Source organism: Homo sapiens, chromosome 3 (genome assembly GCF_000001405.40).
Source record: "Homo sapiens chromosome 3, GRCh38.p14 Primary Assembly".
Classification (NCBI taxonomy): domain Eukaryota; kingdom Metazoa; phylum Chordata; class Mammalia; order Primates; family Hominidae; genus Homo; species Homo sapiens.
The window spans coordinates 144,945,087-144,968,209 of NC_000003.12; positions in this window are offsets into that span (position 1 = coordinate 144,945,087).

Here is a 23,123-nt window from a genome sequence, read left to right on the forward strand (position 1 = left end):
TTCCTAATTCTCTCATCTGCTGTGTCTAGTCTACTGATGATCCCCTTGAAGGCATTTTTCATTTCTATTACAGTGTTTTTTATTTCTTTCATTTCTTTTTACAACTGTTTTTTAGAGTTTTCATCTCTCTGGTTACATTACCTATCTGTTCTTGCATGGTGTCTAGTTTTTCTATCAGAATGCTTCATATACTTTAAATATTATCAATATTTTTAATTTTATCTGATAATTCCAATATCTATGTCATATTTGATTTTCATCCTGCTGTTAGATTTGTCTCTTCAGACTGTGATTTTTATTTTTATTTTTGCCTCTTGGTACACTTTGTAGTTTTCTGTTGCTCTCTGGACATGTATTGAGTAATAGAAAATAAGGTAAACAGAGTATTAGTGTGAGAATTTATTTAAATCTGGCTAGGAGTTGGGCTGTGTTCAGTGTTTGCTATATGTGTATGTGCCAGTCTTAAAATTTCTCTCTGTCCCAGTTTGGTCTCCTGTATTAGTTGAAGGCTTCCCTTAGTACTGCTAATCAGTGGGGGTCCTGTTTTGCAGCCCTTATTGGAATTCACTATAATTGCCTTGGACCCCTATTGATGTGGTGGTAAGGTATGGGGTAGGACAAGTGTTCTATAATCTTATAATTAAATTTCCAGCTTTTAGTGGCTCTATTATCTTTGGACTTTGACCTCCACAAATGTTTCTCTAATTGCATAGTTTCATCCTCCCTTTTGGTGAGATAAGGATAGTAGAGGGAGCCAGAGTGGGATCAATGTCCCTTACTTCATACACACAAAAATATCAATTAATGCCTAATATCCAATGTGATGGTATTTGAAGGTGAGGCTTTTAGCAAGACTCTGCCCTCATAAATGGGACGAGTGCCCTTATAAAAGACACATCAGAGAGCTGTCTTTTTCTCTCCCACTGTGTGAGGACACACAAAGTAGGTGCCACTTATGAGTCTATAAGCCATAAAATGTACCCCCAGAAAACACTTAATACCTTTTTGTGAAGGAAGGGCACAAACATACAGACCATAGCAGAACTAATGTTTGCCAGCCTCATTATGTGTTGCAGTCGAACCTGGAAGTGAATTATATAACATTCTTTGCATACATATAACTTAATTAATATATTTTGCCATTTAAAAATGCCTTTATTAGTTGAAGAAACTGGATTTGAGCCCACAATCCACCTTTCTATGTCTTTGCAAACAACTGAACTTCTCATCATCTTAATTTCTGTAATCCATTCAACAAAATATTTACAAATGTCCATGTCTGAGGTAAAATAAGAGGGGTTAGCAGTCAACAAGCCATTAATAAGAGTTCTCCATAATAACATGAAATTAGGCTTCAAAGATCTCTTCAAAATTATTTTATTTTTAATTTAATCTGTTTTATAGCAAACATAGCAACCAAATTTTATGCTATAAAATACATTATTAAAATATGTAAAAATATCTTCACCTCTATTGATTAAATAATTGAAGCATCTTCTCCTACACTGTAATCTTTGGGACACTGTTCTAGTGAAATATTTCTTGATCAAACATATTTCATCTTTGTTTGCCATGCTTTATTTTTGTTTCCTTTTGTTTGTTCTGTTGTTGTTATTTTCTGATTTAAGCTACATTAAATTAAGTTTTCTAGTACATCATTTCTCTATGTTGGTATGACAGTTTTACATTCTGTTGTTGTGCTTCTAGTGGTTATCTTTACAGTTTTTATTATCCATATTTGATATAGCAAATTTCAAAGCTTAATATCACTTACAGAAGTATAAAAAAAGTTATTAAAATATTTTAACTCTAATCTCTTTATCCTTTTTTTATGGTAATGTTTCCTAGAGTTTTATTCCATTACATTTGTAATCTCCTTTAAACTTAGTCTCTTTTTTCTCTTTTTCAATAAGCATGTATTTATGGTTAAATACTTAAATACCTTTTTCTTAGCTCAGTATTTCACTTTCTTTGGCTTTGATTTCCATAGTACATTTTTTTAGGTTCTTTTGGTGAAAGACTGATTGAAATAAATTCTCTTAATGTTTGTCTAAAAATATTTTACTTCATTTAAATTATTGATTGATAGATAAGCTAGATATGGAATTCTACATTCATTGCTATTTTCCCTCATCAGTAAAAAAACAATTTATCTTCAGGTGTCTGGTATTGCTTATTAGAAGTCTGGTGAGAGTCTAGTTGTGATATATTTATATGTCATCTTACTTTTCTTTACACTGTTTGTCCTGGTTTCCTGTAATTTTTATATGATACATCTATTTGTTCTTGCTCTTCCTGAATAATACTCTGCTTCCTATAGCGAAATACTTATGGATTTAACCAGTAGGGGAGATTATTTTTCTTATTTATTTATTTTGAGAACTACCTGGCTACTATTTTTTGTATCTGGTTGCCCCAACCTTTGTTTTTGTAATTGCACTTCAACATATTTTATACCTTATTCTATCATTTGCCTCTTTTATTTTCTGCTAAAAAGGTCCATGACTTTATGTCTCTGTATCTCTGTTTTATTAATATGTTCTGTGTGATTTATAGCCCATACTTACTCCCAACTTCAGTTCTTGCCTCCTCAGAAGAATGAATTTAACTGAGGAGCATATAGTAGAAAAAGAGACTGAAGCAAGTTCCCGAGCAGGAATGGAAGATTACGTAAAAAGACCTTAGAACAGGAAAGAAAGGAAGGTGCACTTGGAAGAGACCCAAGCAGGCACATGAAGGGTAAAGAGAGAAGGTCAACTGCCCTGTTTAGCCATGATCCTAGGACCTTTATAAGCTCACCTCTTTCTCATGATTCTTCCCTTAGTGTGGTTTGCCCGCATTCACAGAGCCCTCCCTTACCCTTGGAAAATAAGCACATGCAATGTGTTTAGGGAGTTATCCCCATGCCCATCTGAGGCTTTTCCTTTTTCTACTGGAATGTACCCGGAAGATCATACTTCGCCATTTTCGTCTCTTAATATGCATGCCCAGGAAGCTGTTTTTCCCTGGGGCCTGCATTCAATTAACATTTTTAATGTGAAGAGGTGTGGACCATCAAGAGCTTGTCTCTCCCTGGCTGCCGAATTATCATTTGTAGAGTGGCAATGCAATAATTGCAGAATCATCACCCTACATTTCTAGTGGGTGGGGGGAAAGCTCCCTCCTGCCCTTCTTATGCCTATTTAACTACCTGTAACATTCTTATATGAACTACTAAAATTACTGTATCAAATATGTTTCAACAAGACTGTATGACTATAGTAAATAGTACTATTTACTATTATGTTACTATTATAATTTGTTTAGAGTTTCAGTTTTGCATCAACACTAACAATTTGCTTGTTGATGGAATGTATCAGAAGAACCATAACTGAAACAAATTTCAATATTCACATCTTGCAATTTCAAGAGGTAGATAACAACTGGTTTTAACATGATGAATCTTTGCCCAATGACCTTTATGTTTCAATTGTTGTGCAATTTTTAAATAAATCATAAAACAAAATATATCACTGTGACTTTTTTTATGTCTTCTAATATCTTGAGGCAAACCAGCTGACAAATGTATTATTCTCTCATAAAGGAGAGGAACCCTGCATAATGTATACAGGGCTTTACCTATGCTGGATCAAACTACTGCTTTTGTTCATGTCTTCTTAACTGCTATTAAAACAGTTTTTCAGGTTGAAACTATAATGCCTGCTTCATAATGCTGTTTGTTCTTTCTGCAGAGATTCTCTTTCTTATATTAAACATGTCCATAAATCTCTCAGTAATTGTATATTTTTTTTTGTTTCTTCTGTGATTTACACATTGTATTCAACTTCAGGCTTAGTCAGCCTCGTACAATGGTATGGCAGGTTTATGGAGTGTTGTAAAGTTGAGAGAAGTAAGGCAATTATTGTTAAGCCTTCGTAAGCTGTTTGAGAAAAGACATTTGCTGCAACATGCAATGAGGACTGCATCTACCTGCTATAGGTTTACACAGATTTTTATTTAAACTCTTTCTAAAGGGGTTAGTGTTACTATGACCTTCTTAAAAATTTAAAACCTTATTATAAACTGGGAAGTTTTTATTACTTTTTAAACAAAAACCAATGAGCATCAGATATATGAGTGACACAAATAACATTTGTGAATAAAATTGTTTTTGATCTAATGCAAGTGAAATGAAAAAATATTCTATAAGAGCTATATTAATAAGTTATAATCAAGTATCTACAAGTTTTCCACCAAATGAAAATCTGCATTGGCTAGTTTTTTTGATATTAATTTTTTTCATTATCTCCTAGAGTCGTAGATGTAAATAGGGGGATACATTCTTTAGAGATAATGAGATGGCCTAAATCTTTCCTACCCCAACTTTTTAAATTTCTGGATGAGATTATGCTAATATATTAAACAATCAGATATATTTGTGTTTAGATAACATTGGGCAGCATGCATTATGATGCAAAATATGACCTTCTTATCATTTGAGAGAAAAAAATAGTGGGCATATATGCCCTTTACAGCAGCACTCTCATTTGGAATAACATGGTACTATAAAACAAAATGAATTGTACATAAATTACCAGAACTGGCCTCATTTCTCAAGATCATAGTAAAATTATAGAATTTACACAACATGTATGTTATACTATCTTTACTTATTTCAAATCCACTGTGTCAAAGACAGCAGGAATATATACTACTACTGGCGTTGGAAATATCAACTGAGTCCAGAGTGAATTTCAGGAGTCTGCTTGTGTTGGGAATCAACAGTATAACTGAGTGTTTTCCAAATTAACTTATGTGGAGAATACAATATATATTAAAGAATGAGTAATACAAATGTGCTACCTTGAAACCTCTATATAGAATGTCATTAAAGTTCATCAGTAATCATGATAATCATTAGAATATGAGTCAAAAATATTTGATTTTTCAGATAATTTTATTTCTGATATTGATTGGAATTATGAATACATGAAAATAATAAAAGCAGACTGTCTTTTGGTGGACTTTCTTATAGTTTTTAATTCTATATAGACCATACGCCCCTTACTGCTTACCTTCTGGCCAACTCACACTCTCCCGTCCATGTGATGCTGATGCTTCCAAAATTGACCTACGATTCTCAAAGACAATCTAATTCTTCTTATCCAAAATTGTAGAAAACTCTTCTTTGTTTATTACATGTAAGTAAAACATTTAATTTACCAATGATGTCCCTTTTTAATTTGTCAGTGAGATTGGTACTCCATCTGCTAACTTTTTAGAATAAATCCTCCTTTAGTACCAAGTGAGTGATCATTCATTGAAAATTATGAAATGGCCAGATTAAGTATAATCCAAGTGAATTATCCCAAGGCTTATAATGTGGAGAAAGGTATTATAAGTTATTAAAGGTGAGAGGATTAGAAGTTAACAAGAATTGATCTATGAGGTTGTAAATTTTTTGTTATTTTATTTCATATCAATAAGACCAGAGAAGAAAATATGGTATGCTTATTAGAAAATGACAGTTTATACCAAACCAGTTCTGATTTTTTGCCCTGAAATCTGATAGAAATTATATAAATTTGTCAAGCACTTGGCATTCAATATTTTTCCAACACTACAAGATTCCCAGTGTGACTGTGATTTAAGCATTAAAGAAAGTACTAAGTTGTATGCCACATTGCGTAAATTAACCAACTATAATTGTCATTCCTTCTTCAGAAAATTTATAGCTTGTAATTTCTATATGGTATAGGGGAGAAGTTAGCATGCATCAACATGATTTTACCACATGTTAATTGTATTTTAAAAGCCAAGCCCAGAATACTATAAAATGTGTTGTTTTATAGTAATAGAAAATTTAAATTACAAATTACATTAAAATGTCTATTTGCATATACAATTTTAAATTTGAAAATGAGTGTAAATTGCAATGTGTAATATTTTTGTTTGTTAAAGTACATGAAGTACATTACTGAATTTTAATTATATATTAAAATTAAAATTTATTCTTTTTTGTTAATTGCTAATCGTTTTCTAATTAAAGAATTAAGAAAACAAAAGATTACAACAGATGTAAACAAAATGTCTTTTACATAAAAGATTACAAAAGATGTAGCAATTGTATAACTTGACCTCTAAGTAGTTCGCTTTCTTGTCTTGCAGGAACTTGGAAAAATTGCAGGAGTTTTTGAGAAAATAATAACAGGTTCAGAAATATTCTGAATTTAATAAACATATTTAAATTGAGGTATACTGTTAGCAGTGGTGAATCCTTGCTGGCCTGCAGCAACCTCAATTTTTGCATCCTCAGAAGAAAGAACTCGACATAGGGGCATAAGACAGAGTCAGAGACCAAGGCAAGTTTTAGAGCAGGAGTAAAAGTTTATTAAAATGTTTTAGAAAGGAATGAAAGGAAGTGAATTACATTTGGAAGAGGGCCAAGTGGGCAACTTGAGAGATTCAAGTTCTCAGTTTTACCTTTGATTTGTAGTTGTATAAATTTTCATTCTGTGTGTGCAGTGGGAGAGGCCACATGCACAGTGTGTTCACTGAAGTTGTATATGTGCTCACCTGAAACGTTCTTCCTTTACCTCTCAAGTGTTCCTAGAGAAAGGTCATATGCCAGTTAAACTCTACCATTTTTCCTATTAATGTGAATGCTTGAGCTCACTTGTCCAGCTCCTAAGATCTTATTGGGAAGCTGCTGATCACCAGTTTCAGGTGTTTCTGTCTACTGGGAGACAGCGGTTCCCTGGTTCCAGCTGCAACCAATTATTATTTTAGAGTGATAGTTTGACAACTATCTGACCATTACCTCATCGGCTCCTGACATTCCTGCTGGGCGGGGGTCCTCTCCCACTCTGCTCATGTCTGACTGATTACCTACTCTAACAATACAAATATGAAAAAATTTCAAACAGTTGGAGCTTAACAAGGAAATACTAAAATATAAAAATTTAAAAAATGCAAAGAAGCAGAGGATGGAGCAATGTCTAGATTTATTTTGAAACCTGTAATACTTTCAATATTGCATTTACCATCCTTTCATGATTATTAAGAAAATTATTTTTGTACTGAAATAAAATAAAATGTTAAAAAATTTTCTACTATGGATATTAAATAATTCTGTGCTGTCTCTATGGGAACCAGAAAAATAAAAGCTAAGTTGCAGTATGAATTCTCTGTTAGACAAATAACATATATTATAGGACAATTTTAAGGCAGAAAATGTCTGTTTTTAAGACACTAATGGTAGTATATTCTACTTGTTTGGGAATGAATCAACAAGTTCTATATCTTAGATGACATTTTTTACTCTCCACTATTTGTAGACTAGCTCAAGTGATGTGTATTTTTGTGTAGACCAAATGTGGACTGGTAGTTATGTTGTGTAGCTTTCAGTTTATTTTCTGTTTTAGAACAAGGAAAAAAGAATGAAAACTACATCAATGATAAAATGAAATAGCTTGAAATAAGAGAATAAGAGAACAAGCCATCAAATCATTTTTTTAAAGTTTGTGATTAAATGATGCTAAATAACATATTTATTAGTGTTGACAAAAGAGTCAAACCTTGTAAAATATTTCAAGAGATTTATTCTGAGCCAAATATGAATGACCATGGCTCATGACACAACCCTCAGGAGGTACTGAAAACATGTGCCCAAAGTGGTCGGGGAGCAGCTTGGTTTTATACATTTTAGGGAGGCATGAGGCATCAATTAAATATATGTAAGAAATACATTGGTTTGGTTCAGAGAGGTGGGACAACTCAAAGCCAGGGCTTCCAGGTTATAAGTAAATCTAAACATTTTCTGGTTGACAATTGGTTGAGTTTGTCTAATGACCTGGAAGCCATAAAAAGGAAATGTTCAGGTTAAGACAAAAGATTGTGGAGACCAAGGTTCTTTTGAAGTCTTATAGTGGCTGCCCCTTCAGACAATAGATGACAAAAGTTTCAGACCCTTTGAAAGGTGCTAAACTCTCAGTTAATCTGTTCAGAATTGGAAGGCCTGGGAAGAAAAGGTCCAGCTATGTTAACAGGGATTCTTTACAGATATGAATTTTCCCCCACAAAGGACAGCTTGCAGGGCCATTTCAAAATGAGACAAAGAAACATGTTTTGGGAGTAAAATATTTTGATTTTCTTCCTTGTCTCATAATGTTATGCCAGAGTCAGGTTGAAAAGTATGTTATGATATATAGGGTTAAATAAAACCCATCTAATGAGAATTTATGGTTTGTAGGGCATGATTCCCCAGACCCCTTGGATAGAAATTTGGGCAAGATAAAAAAAAAAAAAGCAGAGATTAGTCCTCATTAGCATGTAAAGGCAATTCTTTCAACTTCTCAACAGAAAACTCAAGAACAACTCTCGATTTATGGATTGGAACTGTGGATGTTGGATGTGAGAAGACTGACAAAGAACACAGGGATCTGATATGAGAGAAAAATCTGTTAACTTGCCAATCTTCCCCTATCTTCTGTGATGCTGTTGGCAAGACTAAGTGGTTGGGATAGTAAGAAGTTGAAATTATCATGTATTTTGAAAGTAGACTTAATAGATTGATTGCCTTTTTAATATTAACTGAGACAGAGTGTAAGTTAGTCAATTGTTTCCTTTATTGTCTCAGCTATAACTGGAGTTTTCGTGTTGTTTTCATTTCCTTCTTTAGTGGTTGCTTTGTGCTTATAGCATGCATTTGTAACTTGTCACAGTTTACCTTTAAGTAGTATTATATAAGTATTATATAAGTAGTATATATCATGGAAAGTATAAGCACCTTGCAACAGTATACTTCCATTTTTCCTCTCCTGGTGTAGTGCTATTTACCTCATATTCTTTTTTCATGGTTTTTGTAGCAAAGAAAATGTTTCTTTGACAAGAGGCTGGCCATACCAAGTGGGAGACAATCTTCTTATCCAAGGCTGGTAGGTAAGGGGTTTTTCAAAGAAAGTTTGGGGGACAGGGTAGGGGTGGTTAGGAAATAGGTACTTGCTGCTGATTGGTTGGGGTGCAATCATAGGGATGTGAAAAACAGTCCTCCTATGAGCTGAGTTGTTTCTGGTTGGGGCCGCAGGAGCCTTTGGTCTGTGGGTCCAGGTGAAGCCATGGGTGTCAGACATGCAAAAAACTTGCAAAGATATCTCTAAAGGCCAATCTACAATCATCATGTTATTTGCAGGAGCTCTGGAATAATGACTGGCAATTGCATATGTCTACACCTTAGCATAATTCAGGCTCCTCTCCTTCCCCTAGCCTGGTGGTCTCTCATTAGCTTTACAAAGGCCACTGAGTTTGTGGAAGGTCTATTATTATTTAAACTATAAACTAAATATCTCCCAAAGCTAGATTAGAAACTTGAAGGCTAAAGTCAAGTGGTGGCTGGGCTAGATCAGATCTCCCCTACTCCCATAATTTTCATACTTATATAAAAAACTCAAAATATATTACTATTTTTTATTATAAACAGTCAGTTACCTTTTTATTTTTTCCAGATTTATTGAGGAATAATTGACAAAAAAATTATGTGTATTTAAGGTGTACAGTGTGATGTATGGATATATGCACACATTGTAAAATAATGATCATGATCAAGCTAATTAATACATCCATCACCTCACATAGTTACCTTTTTTTTTGTGTGTGTGTGTGTGTGTGTGTGTGTGTGTGTGGAGAGACCATTTAAAATTGACTCGGCAAATTTCAAGTATGAAATATAGCATTATTAATGATAGTCACCATGCTAAATACGCAATTATGTCCTAAGAAGTGAATTCACTGAGGATAAAAATGACTTTTAATTATGCTTTTTACACAATAAATAAAAAATAGCTAGAGGAAAATATAAGGTCAGGTATTCTATTGTTTGTTTTTAAAATGTGATATATTACAGGTTTTGAACGATCTATATGCATGAACCTACTGAGAGGAAAAAATTTTTAAAAAAATGATGCATGGGAAAAGTTCAGGAGAAAATATCTGAGTGGATAAGAGAACACTGTATGCAAGCGTACATGGGAAAGTTTCATATTAGGAGGCAAATGGATCTGCTTACTCAAGGAAAGTAGAGGAACAATGGAGAAAATGGATGGAAAAGCAGGTAGGTTGGTGAATATGGTGGTGACAAGATAAAGAAGTTTCATTCTGATTAAATTTCTTGTCTCAGTATGATTAGAAACAAAGCCATCACTAATAGCTGTTCATTTGAAGGGCATTTTTGGAGACTCAAATGAGAAGAGAAGTTGTAATTGGCCATCTGGGAGAATATGGAAATAAATAGGGTATGAAAACAAAGCAGTATCACCCTCTCGTGACACATCCACTGGAGGTTCTGGTCATGATTTTAAGTGACTGTGCAAATAGTAATGGGTATGTTTTGTTGTTTTGTTTTTCCCATCCGGTATTTATAGCTTATTGGATTCAGGAGATGTGGGAATAGTTGGATTTAACCAGGATTGAGATCTTGTCAGGCTAGTTAAGTGAAGAGAGTCGGAGTTGAGGGTGCACGGTTATTCAATTTTTTTCCTCTTCTCAAATCTATTTTATGCTCCTCTCTGCCATGTGCTACTCCCTGTAGATTGAGCTTTACACATTGTGTCCCTGTAGCTATTTTATTATATGTCATCTATAGAAATTGGACAGTGGAAGCCATTAGCAGGAAGTAAGAGGGTGGGAAAACAGAGCGTTAACATTAATCCACCATCTCCCCAGCCCTCACTGAGTTCAGGAAGTAGCCACCCTCTTTATGGATACTGCTCTTTTGAATGTCCCCTTTTCTAAAACTCTAGTTGGTTCAAGATTCTAGCTCATTTTGAACTTGCAACTTCCAGTGTTTTTAGTTGCTTGCTTTGTGTGTGTGTGTGTGTGTGTGTGTGTGTGTGTGTGTGTGTGTCTGCGTTGCGATTTGGAATTGTTGGTTCCCTTAACTCTGTCCAAGCCACCAAACCATTTTAGTTAAGCCCTTGAGTATGCTGTCAACTTTCTTCTTTGATCCTGACTGATACAAGATTCATGAACATGAGGTTTATAGAACTAGACCATAAAATCTAAGCTAGAAAAAGAGTAGAATGAAGGCCCAGTGGAAATGATGTTAGTCATTTCATGGGAGGTCTTTATGGCATTAGAAGTGGTTGGAGTGTTGATATTATAAGGAGTAATCTGGAATTTTAAATGAGGATAATCAAAGAATGATATGATTGAAACTGAGATTCTGGAGTTGAGGCAATTAAAGGTAATGAAAAGATTCAGGAAATAATGATGTCATTGTTTCCATGAAGTGTGGATAAAATTGATTAAACCAGAGGAGTTCAGAGAACTGAGAAGCCAGGTGATGGCTTTTACCATTCTTTTGATTTTGAAGACATCACCTGTTCACTGTCCTGTCCACTACATCTAAATATTCCTATCACATGTAGACTGTTCAGATGTGTTTGAATGAATGAATGATTTCCGAGGAAAATAATAGTGAAAAAGTTTAGGTCTGTGTCTGAATCATAGAAGTGTTCAAAAAGTTATATTGTCTGTTTTTCTCAAGAAATAATTGAGAATTTCTTTAATTCTTCCATGTCTATGAGAGGCTATGGGACAGAATCATGCATATTAAAAATAAATTTTGAAATTGAATCCCCTAATCATTTTATGCTTTAGATATTTTCAGATCAGCAACAGTTATTCTTTTCATTAATAACAGAGAAAGCGACATGCATTTTGGTGTTTGTCAAGACCAGCTTTTCTGAGATAATACAGCTCTTAAGACAAATTGGAGTTGAAAAAAATCTCATCTCTTATACTGTTTCTCCACCAAAGGCCAAAAGGCTTAGTTTCTATTTACAGAATCTAGGATATGTATATGCATGTGTGTGAGTGTGTGTGTCTTCATATTTTTAAGACATGCACACTTTCTCTTATTCCATTATGAATCAAAACTTACTATGACCTTACTAGAACAAAATGTTTCTAGGTGTAAGAGTGTAAAGAACAGCAACTTTCACCATGTTTGGACACATGAAGTGCTAGATAATCTTACTCCAAGTAGGTACAATTATAAAAGCAGAAAAAAATTCAATTATTAATAATCATAGAATAAATAGCCACAAAAGATGAAGTTGTAATTTTAACGAATTTTCAGAGTAAACTTTTCTGCTGTGTTAATATCTTCTCATTCATTCTGCTCCTGATGAAAGTTAAAGTAATTTTTTTTTCCAGAAACCACAGACAGAAGCAAATCCCCAGACTTAACCGATTCTTTTTTTATTCCTTCACCCTTCAGATACTTCATTCAAGATATAAGTTTCAATCATATTGATTGAACTCTTCAAAATTAAAAAAGAAAAGCTTTTAAAAAATAATCCTAGCCTAACATCATGAGAGCACTGATTGGCAAGGAGATTAGTGAGCTGTTTCTAATGCAGGCATTTCTCTTCTTTCCAGTCCCAGATGAGCACTCTTATACAAGATGATGAGAATATTGTAACCAATGCTTCAGTGGGGCTGGTCTGTCTCTTCATAAATGGACTATAAAATGTGCACTTAGGAATCCTCTCTTGCCGCAATTCTACAGCTGATGATTTAATGGAAAACAAATATCTAAATGTAATATGGGAGCAGTATGTCAACTTTCTTGATAGTAAATGGGGTGCCCTTTTAGAGAAAAGCTATTTAACACTTCATTGATAATAGCTTCATTGTCATTCCTCAAAATATGAGTAAATGCATTTGTTTAATACCTTTTATTTAAAAAGTTATGATCGGTTTAAACTGTGAAGCAGCATTCATTTAATCTTTACTGGAGAGCAATATTTTCTGAGTCAAATTAACACAGTAGGGGCATCTGCCAGCACCAGCTACTTTGCCCAGAGGATTTATTAGCACTTTGGATAGACTATATCTTCTCCCAAAGCAGATATTTTAGTTATTCGCTAACGTAAAAGCCAGGCTTCCCAGCAGATCTGCACAAGTCACACACAGAGAACTACTAGCTTGACCAGAACCTATGTTAGTTTTCTTTAAGGTTTCATAAGTAAATCTTCCGTTCTTGGGTTTGCTGAGTTTCTTTTTGTGTAATGTTTATCCACCCAGGCATAAAAAAGCCTTTATTATACAACATTTTCTCTGAAATAATGTGTATTTAACTTTATTTACACTGGTGCAGCACTGTCACTGTAATAGATAGATCTGCACAGCTCAAGTATCTATGTATTTATTTATAATAAATGATCCACTTTAATTGCTATGTATGAAAAATAACAACTAATTGTTTGAAAAAAATAAACTCATAGACTCATATCCTAATACATGCTATAGTATGGTAATAAAGAAAGCAGACATTCACATGAGGATACCTGTGCTCAAATATTAGCTCTGCTATTTACTGTGTCACTGATATGGGAATTAAATGAGATCAAAATAAAGTCCTTAGCCCACTGCTTTAATGGTCTATAAATGACACAATGGATCTTGCTATAAATTTTTCATTTATTTTCACCAAGAGACTAATAATAATATCAATACTATCTAAGGGAATGCTCTTTTTCAGATTTTAGTATTCTGTTAGCTTCTGAAGATCTTTTTGTTTCCAGCAGGAGGAGATTTCCTACTAGAATCATTAATAAGAAAATAATATTATTCGCTTATAAAAATTAAATACAAATATTGTATCATTTAATTATTTCAGAGGCTGGCTTTCAGTTCAATGTTACTAGAAGAATATCTGCCTGGTCCTTCTCAAGTTTGTCTGCTGACCCCAGACAGCATGACTTCTGAAGGTGAGGATGACTTAAGTATAGACTTAGACCACTTCTTCTACTTTTCAAAAAACAAATCAGATCTATCCACGGGATCTTGGTCTCTTAGTTCTTGGCTTCTTTGATAATCTCTAGTCACTGAAATAGAACTACAAATGTTTACTTTCTGATTTTTAAATTGGCATTGGCAGGATATGTGGTCAGATGCAAGATAGTTTATCATTCAGAAGCACAATTTCCCTGCTGTCTATTGGGTATCAATTTTCCTTAAGTCTGGTCATCAGAAATATTTTCTGATTTTTCATTTCAACTACGCCTGGAAGTAAGCATTCAGTAAATAATTGATGTACGACTGAATGAATGCTTCTTGCAACTCTGTTTGCTTACATATAGTAATCATTCTCTACAGAAAGTATATTATCACCAAAAGTAAGCATTTTCTTTTCTGAAAACTATGATTTTGTATGTAACTTTAAATATATAATAAAAAAAATTTTTGCTTTGAGGTCTCAATAAAAACAGTTTTCCCTTTTATTTGGGAATCTTGAACTCATGACCAGCATTTTAAACAGCATTCTATACTCCCTGGTCTGGAATAGCTACTTCTCATACTCTTTATTATTTATCTGTCCATGCTAAATGGTGACGGAAGTACCGTAGAGACTACCAACGATAAGGTTACCTTCACCAGCTGCTGCTCAGAGGACTCCATCTCCAGTCTTTTCTATGTGTAAATATACATACACACACACACATTCACATAAACACACACAAATATATACTTACTTGTTTACTGGTCCTATATGAAGAATCATTATATCACAGAAATTTTTTTTTGCAGTGGAAATTAACCAGTTATTAAATAATTATTGAATCAGCAAAGCCCACTGGCTCAAAGTTTAATGAGATTACTTTTACCAAAATAGTATCTATCATAAAATAGCATTTAACTTCTTTTTAAATTTGCTACAAATAATTTATAAATAGACATTACAGCCAATAAATGAGAATTATATAATAATATTCTAGAATAATTATCCTATTAGGCCATTCTTTCACTGCTCTAAAGAAATATCTGAGACTGGGTAATTTATAAAGAAAATAGGTTAAATTGGCTTATGGTTCTTCAGACTGTACAGGAAGCATGTCGCCTGCATCTGCTCAACTTCTGGGGATGCTTCAGTGAGCTTTTTACTTATGGTAGAAACAAAGAGGGAGCAGGCATCTCATGTGGTGAGAACAGGAGCAAGAGATGGGGGAGGTGTCATACTTCAAAACAGCTAGATTTTCTGAGAACTCACTCCGTATAGCAAGGGCCACACCAAGCCACAAGGGATCCTCTTCCAAGACGCAAACATCTCCCATCAGGCCCCAACTCCAACACTGGGGCTTACATTTCAACGCGAGATTTGTGTGGGGACAGATATCCAAACTATATCAGTTGTACAGACTATAGCAGAGGTTTGAACACAGTCAACAACTTACAGTTGCTCTCACAGATTGTTTTCTCATTGCGCCATGCCTTAGCCCATAATGTAGCTTCTGCTTCTTGTCTCTTTTTTCTGGAAACTAGAAAAAGCAATCACCACTTCAATAAAATTTCTTCTAATAATTTTAATTAGCGTTAATCATTTATCACTTTAATCCACTCATCATCTGTTTCTCCAACAAATTGTAGAATTTTCCAAAACCAGGATTATGTTCCATCAGTTTTTTCCCGTGCCTGCATAATGCCTGAAAATGGTTGTTACCTAATGGATACTTATATGAATAAATGAAAGTTGAGAGTAACCCTTGTCTCAGCCCAAACTGTGCTGAATGAACAATGAAGACAGGAGCAAAAAGACTTTCCTTCTGTGTCTGTTATCTCATTTGAGCATTGTCTAGAGCTCCTCAGTCTTTCTGAGTGTGCTCTGGATCTTATTTGATTGTCTGCCAAGTTATCGTCTTCATCTCTGAGCCTAGAGCTAGAAGGGTGGGTTTATCAACATTCAGTGCCAATGACTTCAAGTTAACATCTGATTCTTGATCTGCTACTTAAATTACTAATGGAATACTGGATTCTTCTATGATTTCATCATATACTTTTGCTTTCTGATATGTCTAGCCTCCCATCTTGAAAATATAATATCTACTGAATTATCCTATTTAACATTAGTTATTCTCCAAATCTGTGATTAGGAACTTTGAACTATTGGTTTTATCTGTTCTTCCATTTCCATTTCTATTGTAATTTTCTCTGATTAAGTCTTTACATTTAAACTATTATGCTGTTTCTAAGTCTTTCTAATGTAAGCATTTTTCATTAAGTGTAAACCTTATTCTTCTCATGTTCTGCAGTCATATTCTTCAGTGACATCACTGTGACTTTACTTTCCAGAAATTGTCAATATTCCTTACATTGGCTAGCAAGGCTATCTTTCATTTGTTCCTGCTTACTTAACCCAAACATCTCTTAACTCTTTTCCCCACCCATTGCTCCTGCCAAAATAGAGTCCTCACTAAGCTGCAAATGTATCTTATCCATTTCCCCCACTAATTTGGAGGGCACTATCTCTGCTGTTGACTCATCCCTTTATTTTCTCTCTTTTCTTTTTTTGAGACTGAGTCTCACTCTGTTCGCCAGGCTGGAGTGCAGTGGCATGATCTCAGCTCACTGCAACCTCTGCCTCCCGGGTTCAAGCAATTCTCCTGCCTCAGCCTCCCAAGTAGCTGAGACTACAGACACCCACCACCATACCCAGCTAACTTTTGTATTTTTAGTAGAGAATGAGTTTCACCATATTAGCCACGCTGGTCTCAAACTCCTGACCTTGTGATCCGCCTGCCTCGGCCTCCCAATGTGCTGGGATTACAGGCGTGAGGCATCATGCCCAGCCTATTTTCTCTTTTAATATTTGCTTTTCCTTGTGGTTGTTTATTCTTCCCCTTAAATCATCCCCCAGTTATTCTACTTGGTTATTAGTTATTGATATGGTTTTGCTCTGTGTCCCCACCCAAATTTTATGTCTAATTGTAATCCCCAGGTATTGAGGGAGGAACCTGATGAGAGGTGATTGGATCATAGGTGTAGTTTTCCCCATGCTGTTATCATGTTAATGAGTGAGTTCTCATGAAAGCTGATGGTTTTATAAGTGTTTGACAATTCCTCCTTCACATGCTCTCTCTCACCTGCCACCACGTAAGACATGCCTGCTTCACTTTCTGCCATGACTGTAAGTTTCCTGAGGACTCTCCAGCCATCCACGTGAAACTATAAGTCAATTAAACCTCTTTTCTTTATAGATTACCCAGTCTTGGGCTGTTTTTTGTTTGTTTGTTTTGTTTTGTTTTACCCCGAGAGAGAGTCTAGCCCTGTCACCCAGGCTGGAGTGCTCACTGCAAACTCTGCCTCCTTGGTTCGAGCAATTCTTATGCTTCAGGCTCCAAAAGTGCTGAGATTACAGGCATGAGCTACCATGCCCAGACTTGGGCACTTCTTTTTTGCAGTATGAGAACAGGCTAACACAGTTATGCACGTACAGTCTTTAGTATTCAAAATAACTTATTCAGTGCCTACTGATTTCTGCACATTGTGAAGAATTGCACATTGTATATTGTATAGAATTTCTGCACATTGTATAGAATCGAGAGAGAGAGAGAGAGAGAGAGAGAGAGAGAGAGATGAGCATTGAATTTTATTAGCTATGACATGTGCCCCAAGATACACATCAATAAGCTACCTGCCAGGGAAGCAAGCAGGACTGGAATAGCTTCTGTTTGTGCCATTTCTCTGGCTTTACTTCCTATATATCCTTCTGTTGTTTTAAGTTTCAGGAAAGAAGAGTGCACTACTTATGCTTCTCATGTTTTCCATATAGCACCTGGCATATTGTAGTAACATAGAATGTCATTAAAGATGTGTTGAATTCAATTGTGTTTGATGCTTGTTTTAATTATCAACTTAAAAAAATCACGTTGCATATGATGACTAGTATGTTAATATATTTCCAACCCTTTTTAGGTGAACTTCAACAACGACATCCAAAAGCGCTAATCCTAAAAATGCTTAGATGCCTTTAAAATGAAATATCATGTTTACCCTTGAGCATAAGTGTGTCTTACAAATCAAACAGTGTAACACAGGCCCAGGCTAAGAGGAACTAAAATGCTGTTCAGTTCCTTTTCTCATTTGCAGCTATTCTCTCTGCTTCCCAACCGACCTTTAATTCAACCAGTTTGGTTACAGGGAATGATGTTGCTCAAACTTTGCCAGGAGCAGAAACATTGGCAAATTTTCAATATGTAAATGAACTTCATTTTTGGCTGCGTGCAATGGCTCACATCTGTAATCATAGCACTTTGGGAGGCCTAGGTGGTTGGATCCCTGGAGCCCAGGAGTTTGAGACCAGCCTGGGCAACATGGCAAAAACCATCTCTACAAAAAATACAAAAAATTACTGGGCATGTTAGTGCATGTCTCTAGTATCAGCTGCTTGGGAGGTTGAGGTGGAAGGATCCCTTGGTCCCTGGAGGCAGAGGTTGCAGTAAGCCCAGATTGTGCTACAGCACTCCAGTTTGGGTGACGGAGTGAGACCCTGTCCCAAAAATTAAAACAAACAAACAAACAAAAAGAATTTCTCCTTTGAAGTGCAAGAATTAAAAATAAGAGCAGGAATTACCAGATATTAAAGAAATAAATGCCAAAATGTATTCAGTTACTTAAGAAAGCCATTTAGTTGAAAACCATAAGTCATACTCAGATAGACTGCAGGTACCAGTATGATTTCGCACACCCCTGAATCTTTGTTTCCTCATTTGATGATTTTAGTGTAATATCAGACTGTAGGTTAAGACATATGAACAACAATGCACACATTATTATTAAATTCTGTATAATAGTATATTGACATCATGCTATTTCCTTATTTTTTGAGAATGTAAAATCCATAAGGCAGGTATTTTGTCTAACTCCTTATTCTATATCTGAAGTCTAAACAATCATGCCTTAAAATAGTCAATAGATGTTTCTGGAATGAATTAATGGATATTTTGTATGGTTTTGTAAAGGTTTTGTAAATGGTGGTATTATAAAGGAGTAAATGTGGATTCATTTTGCTTGGTTATTAAATCTAGTAAAAATCAGAGTTGCTTTGCATTCAGCTGGCTTATTCACTGTTTTTCAAATGTTTTGCATTTGCAAACTTTTAATGAGTTTGGCCTCAAGGAGTTTTTCTCCATTCCATATGTTTCTGATTCCCTTAGAGTTAGCTCTTACCAAAACTATTTTAATTATTTATTTGAGTCCCAAGGAGCCTTTTGAGATTTCATTAAGGAACTTTTTATGTCTGACTTTTTATAGTAGAAAGTCTTATTTTTCTCAAAAGTTTCAGACTATATTTTCAAAAATCCATAACTATTGTTAGATTTATGCTAGTTCCCTATTTCTATTTCTGATGTCATTGGAACAAAAGTTTCTTCCTATTAGTTGAGTGAACAAACTGCAAGACTCTGCATCGTCTGCATTTCTGATATGGGTATTGCAACAACTCATAACGCCATAGTGTCTCACAATTCACCCACAGCATTTCTCTTAAACAGGCATAATTACTATTATTATTATTATTATTATTATTATTATTATTATTATTTGAGATGGAGTTTCAGTCTTGTTGCCCAGGCTGGAGTGCAATAGCGCAATCTCAGCTCGCTGCAACATCCGCCTCCCAGGTTCAAGTGATTCTCCTGCCTTAGCCTCCCACGTAGCTGGGATTACAGGCACCCATTACCACACATGGCTAATTTTTGTATTTATTTATTTATTTATTTTAGTAGAGACGGGGTTTCACCACGTTGGCCATGCTGGTCTCGAACTCCTGACTTCAGGTGATCCGCCCACCTCCGCCTTCCAAAGTGCTGGGATTACAGGCATGAGCCACCTTGCCCAGCCCTTAAACAGGCATAATTATAATCTTATCAGTGTCATGACTGTCCAGTTACTTTATGTTTAAATTTACTCCATCACAAATAAATACATTCTGTTGTTTTTGAGAGAATGTTTAAAACACAGAGGCTATCTCCTTTGTTCTTATTTTCAGTAAAATGAATATATTTAATCAATTTAAGGATAAAAATTAATAATTTCAATGCATACATCTCTGCATTAGGTCAACTATTGGACTTTATGTATTTAATTTTGTAAAGATTCATTATGAAATGAATTGTGTGCTGGGGAAGGGTTGTATGTAATTAATTTTTCAGTAAATTCTAAAACTATGCTCTGACTGATTTTAATAAAGTAGATGTATTTTAATTAATACCACTGATGAACTTAATGCTAAAAGAGGAGAATTAGGCCCTTGTTTTGTCTATTTTTATGGCTCAAGAATTTTGTAGAACATTCTCTACATTTTCAAATTTTAAAAGTTTATTTTACTGTGATCTTTGAAGCAGCTGGATAAAATAGAATGTCTCTGTACAAACTGCTTAATTCTCATATTTACGTATTCCAATGCAACATTACATAAGAAATAAGGACTATTAGAGGTATTAATTAGATAATTTGGTAAAGTAAAATAAATAAAATCGCAAAAGAGTACCTATAGCAGCCATGTACCAGTATGAAGTAATTCCTATTTTGAAATTTTTTCTTTGAAATAAGAGAATCTCTGAAAAGTAAGTAGTCTAACTTTTAATGATTTTGTAGAAACTTATATACATTTGTACTTTATGCTCATAACTACTAAATATTAGTAGTGTATTTTTAACAAATGCAAACAAACCAAAATAGACGAAGCATAAATCCTTATGCCTTAAATATGGATGTAAGATTTTAATTTGTTTAGTGCTGTGTTCCAGAATGTGGAAACACCTTCTAATACATCATGTCAAAAATTACAAGCTAATGCTTACATTCAATGCAAATGCTCATTTTATAAATAAAAACATTTTTAATATGATGGATTTTCCTGGAAACTTCAGAGCATAAAATAAGCTTGCCATGTGCAAGTAAAATGGTGAGAGAGGGAAGGATCAAGAATGGATGCAGTTCTGCTCTTCTGTCATTTGACAGAAAATGCCATATTTACACCATTGTGCAATGATACAACACTGTGTTTATAACATAATTTTCAAACCAAAAATGCAAACTTTGATTTAATATATGATATCAAGGTGTGAGTTTGAATATATATACTTATATATTATATAAATTATATATAACACAAAACATATTTTATGTAAAATAGAAATATAAAACTTCAGTTTTCCTAACAACAACAAAACAGGTAGCCTGTTTTTGCAAAATAATTTTTAGGTAAAAATTTTAGGTAAAGACATATTATGTATATGGCCATATTTGGCCATATATATATTATATATGGACATATGTGCATATGTCATGTACATTATATATATGTCCAAAGATAGACCATATATATACTATACATGGATATATATACACATATATACATATGTGTATATATACATATATGTATATATACCTTGTGTGCATATATATCCATGGATATATGTATACACATATATACAGATATATGTGTATATATGTATATATATACACATATATACAGATATTTGTGTATATATATATCCATGTATATATATGTGTACACATATATACAGATATATGTGTACACATATATATCTGTATATATGTGTATACATATATATCTATACAGATATATGTATACACATATATATATCTGTATATATGTGTATACATATATATCTCCACATATATATATACACACACAGATATATATATATATATCTCCCTGTATAATATATATGGCCAAAGATGGACATATATATATCTGTCCGTCTTTACGTAAAAATTATGTTTCAAAAACAGGAAACATGTTTTGTTGTTGTTGTTGTTGTTAAGAAAAATTGAAGTACAATCTTATGTGATTTATTTTGGCATACTGCCCTGTGCCCTGATTCTGCTTACAGTGCAAATTAAGAATTATTTCTCCAAGTACAGTGAAATTATAAATAAATACTTTGGAAACATTGTAGTTTGAGTTTTACATGCCTTGAAGCCTATAATGATAAAGATTTTGTTTTTAATGAGTCATACTAATGATAATCATGAATTAAACATATTTTAATTATGCTCTTTGATGTGATGCAGAAGCAGTTGGACATAAATAACCATTAAATTTCCAAGAAGGGTCATATTCAAGAACTTTGAGTCCATGAAGCTTCGACTTTGGTCATTATAAATCATTTCTTACACTGCTTATGAATAGATTGACTAAATATGGTTTAGGATTAGAAAATGGAATTCAGACAATATCCATCTTAACTAATTAGTATAATTTTTTTACTTGAAGCTCTTAAATTCTGTTACGGAAAGATTGTTTTTATTGGCTAAAACTTTATTAAACTATAATTAGTTTTTGCTTGAAGAGGTATCTGCATTTAAAAAATAAAATATTAAAAAAGTAGACAGAATTTGTATACATTATTGTCATTTTTGCTAGCACTAATGTTCAATAAAAATAAGTTGACATGTTTTAAAAGAAAAACGTATTATGCAAAAAAGCACATGCTTATCTAAATAAAAGGGACTACTTTTAGTTGGCTGCTGAATGGGTCAAGAAAGAAATAACCAGACAGATTGTTTGGGTATAAAATCCTGGCAGAGTTGATGGAAGAAATATGATGACCATCTGTTTTGTTCATATAGATATATCAGACTGTCAAAGTTTAACAAAGCCATGTGTCTTTTTTTTTCCCAAAGTGATATTTGCAATTACTGCTCTGAAATAGTGATTACATTATTAATAAAACATTTACTAATTTCTAAATGCTTGGTTTATGCCAGATACTACTGTAAGTTCTTTACATATAGTATCTCATCTGATAATTAAGCAATGAAACCAACAATTAAACAATTGTCTAATTAAACAAATTCAATTGTAAACAATTAAAACAATCCAGTGAATGGGGTATTGCTATTTTCTGTTTTATTCAACATGTAGTTGAGAAGGATTTTAAGCTGTTAGTCTTAATTACAACACTAAATAAAAATCCAAATTCCAGAGAGCTCTTACTAAGTTTTAATAAAGTGAAACAAAATCATACAAAAACTCCAATTTCAATTGTTATATCCCCTTCCAGATGTTAATAGAGACTAGTATATACTATAGACAGATTTTTTTTCTTCTGAGGTTATGATCTTCCTAGTTGAGTTCTTACAAGAGTGATAACTCCTCACTAGAGAAAAGGGAGCTTCACATCTTTACATTTTCATTTTAAGCCCAAATTAAAAATTACCCCGTGTTAAAAAGCTATATTTTTATTTATCTAAATTATTTAATGTTTATACATACTTACTAGTACATACATACATAAGTACTAGCACAATGCCTAGAACATTGTCGTGATTCT